At 49.4% G+C, this 6,701-nt stretch overlaps 1 long non-coding RNA gene across 2 annotated transcripts; it reads left to right on the forward strand.

Annotated features, from left to right (window-relative positions):
- The first annotated feature begins 516 nt into the window (after positions 1 to 516).
- On the forward strand, positions 517 to 6,187 carry LINC00868 (long intergenic non-protein coding RNA 868). 2 transcript variants are annotated; one of them, NR_135283.1, is made up of 3 exons: positions 517 to 615; positions 2,618 to 2,706; positions 5,827 to 6,187. It is a non-coding gene; the product is annotated as a long intergenic non-protein coding RNA 868 (long non-coding RNA). The 2 variants fall into 2 exon arrangements; NR_135284.1 differs by lacking the exon at positions 2,618 to 2,706.
- The last annotated feature ends 514 nt before the right edge of the window (positions 6,188 to 6,701 follow it).

The following is a 6,701-nucleotide window of genomic DNA, read 5'->3' on the forward strand; positions in this document are numbered from 1 at the left end:
CACTTTGGGAGGCTGAGGCGGGCGGATCACCTGAGGTCAGGACTTCAAGACCACCTGACCAACATGGAGAAACCCCGTTTCTACTAGAAATACAAAATTAGCCGGGCATGGTGGCACATGCCTGTAATCCCAGCTACTTGGGAGGCTGAGGCAGGAGAATCACTTGAACCCGGGAGGCAGAGGTTGCAGTGAGCAGAGATCATGCCATTGCACTCCAGCCTGGGCAAAAGAGCAAAACTCCATCTAAAAAAAAAGAAAAAAAGAGAGAGTCATGCTGCTATGAACATGCATGTACAAGCTCCTATGTGGATATGTGTTTTCATTTCTCTTGGAGATGCACTTAGCCGTGAAGTTACTTCATTTTTTGGGCCTCAGTGTTTGCCTATAAGACAGGATCAGGCTCTCACATGGTTATTTGTATGAACTGATGAGATGTTTGCCTGGTACAAGGTGGGTGTTAAAGAAATGGAAGCTAATGATAAAATGATTTTGTTTCTCTGTGCCTGAATCTCGTCCTCAGGAGCTTATAATTTAGTAGACACATAAGCCACAAACAGAAGCCAGCTCTGTGTCAGGCCCCATGAGAAGTCCGCAGGTGCGATCTTCAATTTGGAGGTGAGGAAACTGAGGCTTGGAGGGTGATTTGCCAAGGTCTGGATCGGGAAGGGGAGGCAGGACTCAAGGCCCATTGGGCTCCGGGGTCTCACAGTGAGCGAGGAAGCTGAGAAGAGCCTGGCCCATCTTGCAGGCACCGCTGTGCTTCCAGGGTTGCCCAGGCGAGACCCTCACCCCATGTGCTACCTGTCCCTGACAGGCAGGGAAAGGGGCTGGGCCGGCCCTGGGGGTGGCTGTGTGGATGAACACCTAGTGGATGATGAAATGCAGGCTGAGAAGAGTCTGAGATGAATCGGGAAGTTTCGGGAAGCTGCCCCTACGGTGATGTTCAGTGTCAGGGAGCTGCACAGAGGAGCCGGTGGAGGAACATGGAGAGTAGGAGGCGGTGTGAGGCAGACACTCTTTGCCTGGCATGGGCTGGAGGTGTGGGGTGAATGGTTCACGAGAAGAGGGGGCATGCACAGTGCAGTGGGCACAGAGGGCAAGGTGGAAGGAAACAGCCTTGGCTGACCACCATGTCGGGCTGGGCTTAGGGACTGGGGTCCTTTGAATCCCCACCGTCCCCTGCCTCGTCCCCACACTCATTCATCCATTCAGTGAAAACCCCTCTGTCAAATGCGGCTCATGTCACATGCGGCTCATGTTAGATGCTGTTTGGGACACTTGGGAGGCCTCAGTGGGCAATAGATTAAATTCCTCCTCCTAGCTTGAGGGGGTGCATGTGTCCATCCCCACCTTCTCCTCAAATCTCTCAGAGGACAAAGCAGGGGCCACGGCTCTCCCACGGCATCCTCTATACAGCCATGGAGGCTGGAGCAGAGATGGACCAACAAAGGGGTCCATCTGCCACACCCCCCATCTACTTCCCTTCTGTTGAAGATGGGAAGGTCATGGCTGTCTCAGTGTGGCAAGCTCCCACCTGGAACTGGACACCATAAAATCTTGCTAGACAGGGACGGATTTCAAGGTGGTCTTGGGAGGCACCTCCGCCACGGCCTGAGATCCTGCAGCACCCTCGCCCGGATCACAACCAGAGCAGGAGGTGTCTTTGGGCCACCGCTCTTTTGAGACGATCCGGGGGCGTTCAGGGAGCAGGAGGAGGAAACCGAGGCAGCTGGGTGGAGAAGCACCTCTGTGCCTGGTGGCCTGCTGTGTCAGCCCCTCCTCATGTGGCACCTGCATCTCTGGGAGGGAGCCCTTTTCCTGGGGCCTGAACTTCCCAGGGCCATGCCTGCTCATGCCTGCCCCTGGGACTCCTGGCCCAGGGTTTTGAGTCCAGCAAGGGACAGAAGGTAAGTTCGTGGGCTCTGAGGTCTACTGGGCCTGAGTTTGCATTTGGATCAGTGGTGAGCCCTTGGACAAGATGTTTCACCGCTCCGAGCCTCAGTTTCCCTCATCTGTTAATGGGGATATGAGCTCACACATGGGGAGCACTGGGCGTCACAGTGCCTGGACACAGCAGCTCTAACAGGATTGCATGTGTCAGTTTCCTATGCCTGCTGTCACCACACACTTCACAGCTTAAAACAACACGGATTTATCATCTTACAGTTCTGGAGGTTGGAGGTCCAAAATGGTCCCTTGAAGGTGTAAATCAAAAATAAAATTCTGGCTGGGCGCGGTGGCTCACACCTGTAATCTCAGCACTTTGGGAGGCCGAGGTGGGCGGATCACGAGGTCAGGAGATCGAGACCATTGTGGCAAACACGGTGAAACCCTGTCTCTACTAAAAATAGAAAAAATTAGCCAGGCGTGGTAGCGGCGCTACTTGGGAGCTGAGGCAGGCGAATGGCATGAACCCAGGAGGCGGAGCTTGCAGTGAGCTGAGATCGCACCACTGCACTCCAGCCTGGGCGACACAGCGAGACTCCATCTCAAAAAAACAAAAACAAAAACAAAAATTAATAAAATAAAATTCGAAGATCCCCCCAACCATCTGAATGGACTCCCTCCTCTTGGCCAGGGCACTCCTCATTATGACCTCCTCCCTTTTGGAATTCAGGAAAAGCTGACTAACATTGAACATCAACACAGACTTCATCTGATAAGAAACATTCATGATCTACTCTCTATGAAGCCTGCTACCTGGAGGTATCATCTGCATGATAAAACTCTGGTCTCTACAACTTCTTACCATAACCCAGACACTCCTTTCTACGGATAATAACTCTTTCAACCAATTGCCAATCAGAAACATTTTATTTCTTAATTTATTATTTTACTATTATTATTTTTTTCTGAGAGGGAGTCTCGCTCTGTTGTCTAGGCTGGAGTGCAATGGCGTGATCTCGGCTCATTGCACCCTCCACCTCCTGGGTTCAAGCGATTCTCCTCCCTTGGCCTCCTGAGTAACCGGGATTACAGGCATGCACCACCACACCTAGCTAATTTTTTGTATTTTTAGTAGGGATGGGGTTTCACCATATTGGCCAGGTTGGTCTCGAACTCCTGACTTCAGGTGATCCTCCCACCTCGGCCTCCCAAAGTGCTGGGATTACAGGCATGAGCCACCATGCTGGGCCGAGAAACAATTTAAATCTACCTATATCCTGGAAGCCCTCCCCTCCCACTGCTTCAAGTCATCCCGCCTTGTGAACTGATCCAATGTATATTTTAAGTGTATCTGATTGATGTCTCATGTCTCCCTAAAATGTATAAAACCACGCTGTGCCCTGACCTCCTTGGGCACATGTCGTCAGGACTTCCTGAGGCTGTGTGATGAGCACATTCTTAACCTTGGCAAAATGAACTTTCTAAATGGATTGAGACCTGTCTTGGATCCTTCTGGGCTCGCAGAGGCTAAAGTCAATGTGTTGGCCGGGCTGCGTTCCTTCCAGAGGCTCTAGGGGAGAACCTACCTCCTTTCCTTTTCCAGCTTTTGGAGGCTGCCTGGATCCCCCGGCTTGTGGCCTCTTCCTCCGCCTTCAAAGCCAGCGAAATGGCTGGTGGAGTCTTTCTGGTGCTGTCTCACTCTGACACTCTTGTTTTGTCTCCCTCTTCTATATATAAGGATCCTTGTGTAGGAGTGACAGAACCTTCTCTCTCTCTCCTGGAGGTTCAGTATTCGAGCCTGAAAAATGCACTCAGCAGGAGACAGATGAGCAGGAGGAAAGACACACATTTATGAGGTGCATGTGCACAGGGGTCACACAGGGTAGGCGCCTCCAAGAAGGACCGGATGGTTGAAGCTTAAATAGCATTTTGAGCTACAGAAAGAATTAGGGGCTTACAGGCTCCTGGAGGGTGGTGGCGACCAGCAATGGAGGGTGAGGGCAGGAGCTGCACTGGGAACAAAGGCATTAGTCTCTCCTCTGGTTAGTGTGGGTTCCGGGGCCAAGACAATTGCATTCCTTCTGGAGGAACTTCCCTTAGATAAGGGAAGCTTCAGGAAAGCCCCTCCCTGTGCTTTGGGAAAGAAAGGATGGAGACACAGGATGGAGACTGGAGAAGGGCAGAGAGACCTTCGTTCTGAGGCTGCTGCTTCAGTTCAAAATACAGCCCTCTGCATCGGTGCATTCCACATCTGCAGATTCAACCAATTGCTAATGGAAAACATTAAAAAACAATCATAACAATACAACATTTACAAATAATACTGGCTAGGCATGGCAGCTCATGCCTGTAATCCCAGCACTTTGGGAGGCTGAGGCGAGTGGATCAGTCGAGGTCAGGAGTTTGAGATCAGCCTGGCCAACATGGTGAAACCTCGTCTCTACTAAAAATACAAAAATTAGCCAGGCCTGGTGGTGCCTGGCTGTAATCCCAGCTACTTGGGAAGCTGAGGCAGGAGAATCTCTTGAACTCGGGAGGCAGAGGTTGCAGTGAGCTGGGCGACAGAGCGAGACTCGGTCTCCAAAAAAAAAACACACATTTAAAAATTAACTATTTACATAGCATTTATGTTGTGTTAGGTATTATAAGTAATCTAGCGATGCTGTAAGGTATATGGGAGGATATGTACAGATAACATGCAAATATGATATAAGGAAATTAAGCATCCTTAGATTTTGGTACCTGCAGGGGTGCTGGAACCAATCCTGCATGGATACTGAGGGATGACTGTACTTAGCATGTCAAAGCGCCATATTTTGAGGTGTCATTTTCTGACTTCCAGCACTTGAGGTTACATTAGGCCTGTAACAGTGAAGAAGCAAAGAACAAACATCACTCCCTCCATTTGTGTTTAAGAGGCCTTTACTCATTCCTGCACGTCTGCTAGGATAATTTTAGAGCACTGAGACAAAATGCAAAACAGCAATCATGTAGTTTTTGAAACTCTGGGATTAAAGGCGAAGTCTGTAAACAACTAGCTATGTTTTATTGACAGTTTACAGGCACACTGTGACCGGACCAAGGACAAATAAGTTCTCAACCTCTTCTGACCCTCACTGATGTTCAGATGTCTGTGGTCCTTCATCACCTCTAGATCCCAATGCCCTCCTCTTCCCCATATCCCCTTGCCACAAAAACCCTCTGGCTAGCCTAAAAAATTGGAGTTGTTACTTTTGAACACTAGTTCACCATCTTCCTGGTTTTGCTGGCTTCCTGAATAAACCTGCTTTTCCTCTGTCCAACCTTACTGCTCATGTCTGGCTTTTGGGTGGCAAGCAGCTGAACCTGGGTTCGGTTGAAGGCCCACCCAGATAATCTAGGATAACCTCTGCATTTTTTTTTTTTTTTTTGAGACAGAGTTTTGCTCTTGCCCAGGCTGGAGTGCAATGGCATGATCTCGGCTCACTGCCACCTCCGCCTCCTGGGTTCAACTGATTCTCCTGCCTCAGTCTCCTGAGTAGCTGGGATTACAGGTATGCGCCACCATGCCTGGCTAATTTTTGTATTTTTAGTAGAGATGGGGTTTCTCCATGTTGGTCAGGCTGGTCTCGAACTCCTGACCTCAGGTGATCCGCCCACCTAAGCCTCCCAAAGTGTTGGGATGACAGGCGTGAGCCACCACTCCTGACCTAATCTCTGCATTTTAAACTCAGTTGGTTAGCAACCTAATTCTCACAGGTTCTGAGGATTAAGAGGTGGACATCTTTGGGGACTGATTCTGCTGATCCCATATTTCTGCAGTGATCTGTGATCTAACCAGAGAAACTGTTCAGAAAGAAAGGGGGTCTGTATTCGTCCTTTCTCACGTTGCTATAAAGAAACACTGGAGACTGAGTAATTTATAAAGAAAAGAGGTTTAATTGGCTCACTATTCCACAGACTACAGGAAGGATGGCTGGGGAGGCCTCAGGAAACTTACAGTCACAGCGGAAGGCAAAGAGGAAGCAGGCAGCGGCTTCGTGGCAGGAGCAGGAGGAAGGCGGTGGGGAGGTGCTACATACTTTTAAACAACTGGATCTTGTGAGAACTCACTATCACGAGAACAGCAAGGGGGAATTCTGCGCCCTGATCCAGTCACCTCCCACCAGGCTCCTCCTCCAACAGTGGGGATTACAATTCGACATGAGATTTGAGTGGGGACACAGATCCAAACCATATCAGTGTCATTAAAAAAATAGTTGCCCTGCTAACTTTTTTAATCCCCTGTAACTCTAAATAAAATAATGATGTGAACATAACACATTTAGAGTCCCTGGTTCATTTCCTGGCTGTATTAGTCTGTTTTCACACTGGTATAAAGATACTACCTGAGACTGGGTAATTCAGGAAGGAAAGAAGTTTAATTGATTCACAGTTCCATGTGGCTGGGGAGGCCTCAGGAAACTTACAATTAGGGCGGAAGGGGAAGCAGCCATCTTCTTCACAAGGTGGCAGGAGAGAGAAGAATGAGGAATGAGGGGGAAGAGCCTCTTATAAAACCATCACATCTCATGAGAACGCACTCGCTATCTCGAAAACAGCATGAGGGAAATCACCTCCATGATCCAATCACCTCCCACGGGGTTCCTCCCTCAACACGGTGAGGATTATGGGGATTACAATTCCAGATGAGATTTGGGTAGGGACAGAGAGTCAAACCGTATCACTGGCATATAGTAGATGCTCAATAAGTGGAATCTCCTGATCATGATAAAGTGTTCGCCTGTGTTTCCAGCACTGGGATGGGGCCTATGTGGAGGAGGAGGGCTGCCTGT

Source organism: Homo sapiens, chromosome 17 (genome assembly GCF_000001405.40).
Source record: "Homo sapiens chromosome 17, GRCh38.p14 Primary Assembly".
Classification (NCBI taxonomy): Eukaryota; Metazoa; Chordata; class Mammalia; order Primates; family Hominidae; genus Homo; species Homo sapiens.